Below are 2491 nucleotides of genomic sequence, written 5' to 3'. Positions count from 1 at the left end.
TTGGCATTTTCACTCCTTCTCTATAAAACAGATTGAAACAGACAGGGAAGAAAGGTAAATACCTGTGACCTTCTTTAAATTGGCTTCCACAGAAGTCATTGGGAATGAAATGAGGCCTGCAGTGAATAGTACTCAGGGAGGCCCCTCAGGTTTCCCCTCCTCCAATGGGACTTCTTTTCACTCTCAATAACTTTTTTGTGTTCTCAGGAGAAAAACAGCTAATATGCTTAGATATGAACAATTGGCTCCACATGTATCATGCAAATTTCTCAAATTTCATACGCAAAAAACTGCTGAATGACATTTCCTCAGCTGTAGCTACTGTCCATACCTCTGGGGAATGTGGACACAGTGGTAAGGTCAACCCCACAATAAGGAGGCTTTCTTGGTCTCAATAGGCACTTTATGCTCATTCAAAAAGAAATACTTCGAAAGCTTTTTTGGCCAGGGTGTGTGAGCATTGCTGTGCAAAGAGAAAGAGCCAGCTTGGGCTGGGCCAAGGGAAATTAGGCTGACCCGTGGAGGGTCCTAGAACTGGCTCTGAGGTGAGGTGGGTTGATGTGGGTTTGAAGATGACCTGCTAATACCTGGTCAGTTTACAGTAACCCTTTGCACTCGACTCACACTGGTGGATGCGAGACATGTCTAAAACATGTTTGACTGTTTTACTCACAGGCAGTTTTTCTTTGTTCTAGATTGGGCCCCTAACCATGTTTTAAACTACTGTATATTTTACCACTATTTAGGGTTATGTAGGCCAGACAAAATAATTATTCCTGAGAATAATCCTTAAGAATAGTTTATGAATTATCTATCATTTCAAAGCCAATGTTTTCACTTCTTGCAATTTTCAGGGAAAGTTTTCATCTAGAGAAAATACTACATAGTAGATTTCAGTGAAATATAGTAAAGAAATTTTAGGGAAAAATTAACTAAATTTTGGTGAGAAAAAATTTAGGGAAATTTCAGTAAGAAATTATAATTCCTATTTTGGGGTTATAAGAAGACAAGAAGGAATAGTCCAATGTGCTTTAGGTTACAGCTACAAAAAATAGTAGTCTTACGTTCAGGAAGAATTCATAATTCCTGAAGTTTAGTATAAGAGGAAAATAGAATCTGGGGATAGAAGTATTAATTGATACACGCTTATATTGGCTTGATAAATATTGATTTCCATATAGTAACATCTGACTTATCTGAAATCATTATAGCCAGTAATTTTAGTGGTTAGTAACAGAAAACCAACCAAAATGGGCTTAGCAAAAGGAGTATTTAATGGCAGTTGAAAGTGAAAAATACAAGTAGGGATGTTTGATGGAGGGGCTCAGATGGGATCACCAGGACTCTCTTCTCTCCATCTCTCATTTCTGCTTCATCTGGATTAAATTCCCCATGGTCAGTAGCATTGCTATAGCTGTTCTAGCCTTACAGACTTACTACTCTCTGCCTCTTTTCCAGGTGATCCTATAAAACTTGTGGGATTAATTCTGGTTGAACTGATTTAGGTCATGCCCACTTCTTCATCTTGACTCTGATGTGGGGAAATGCTGTGCACTGGTTGACTTAGGTCTGGGTCACTGACTTCTCTCCTGGGGCTGGGCTGGAGACCTGAAGCATCCAGTGGACTGTAAGAGAGCAAGGGATAAGTTCTCAGATGAAAATCAAAGGCATAAGACAGCATAATGGAAATGAGAAAGATCAATGTCTACCAAGTGTCCCAAAATGTATCTTATTTTAAAACATGATTTTCCTGTTTTCCATGATAGTTTATTGAGAAAAATATTTTGTAAAAAGCCTAGCTTGGTCAATAAAATGTACTTTCTCAGTACTTGATCATTTTCAAATTCCCCTGTTGACACCTTTGAAACCAATATATTGAACATTCTCCACATACAGGCTTTTCTAAAAATGTATATTGAGATAGAGTATACTAAATAGTCTCCTCCCTGTCTGAGTCCTAGGAATCTCAGCAATCCTTTCACAAATGGTGTTCTGTGAGCTGGTGTGTCTTTGGTATGAACCCACTGTGGGTGGAATGAGCTCTTTTCAGACCTGTGTGTGTTACTTCTCTTAGTCAAAGGACAAAATCCCTTACACCAGCTGGCTTATAAACAACAAACATGGATTACTCACAGTTCTAGAGGCTGGGAAGTTCAAGATCAATGTGCCAGCAAGTTTGGTGTTGGATATGGGCCCATTTCCTGGTTGATAGATCGCTCCCTTTCACTGTATCCTTACATGGTGGGAAGGATAAATGAGCTCCCTTGGGTTCATTTTTTAAGGGCATTAATCCCATTTGTGAAGACTGCCATCATGACCTAATTGCCCTCCAGAAGGCCCTACCTCCTAATACCATTGTCTTGGGGATTAGCATTTCATCATATGAATTTTGAGGGGATACAAACATGCAGACAATAGCATTCTCTCTGGGAAATACCTAAGTCAGGGTCAGGTCTTGGTAGGTGAGTTAGAATAAAACCCTTACCCAGTG

The 2491-nt window shown here is 39.4% G+C and overlaps 1 annotated feature.

Moving 5' to 3' along the window:
* Positions 203-1402: an enhancer, noted in NCBI's record as "P300/CBP strongly-dependent group 1 enhancer chr5:118134858-118136057 (GRCh37/hg19 assembly coordinates)". NCBI's record gives its function as "activates an origin of replication core promoter dependent on BRD2, BRD4, P300/CBP, MED14 and CDK7 cofactors, with strong dependence on P300/CBP, by STARR-seq in HCT116 cells {active_cell/tissue: HCT116}" and the evidence as "EXISTENCE:reporter gene assay evidence [ECO:0000049][PMID:35650434]".

This window comes from Homo sapiens, chromosome 5 (assembly GCF_000001405.40).
Source record: "Homo sapiens chromosome 5, GRCh38.p14 Primary Assembly".
In the NCBI taxonomy this organism is placed as follows: Eukaryota; Metazoa; Chordata; class Mammalia; order Primates; family Hominidae; genus Homo; species Homo sapiens.
This window is presented reverse-complemented; position numbering and strand designations above follow the sequence as displayed.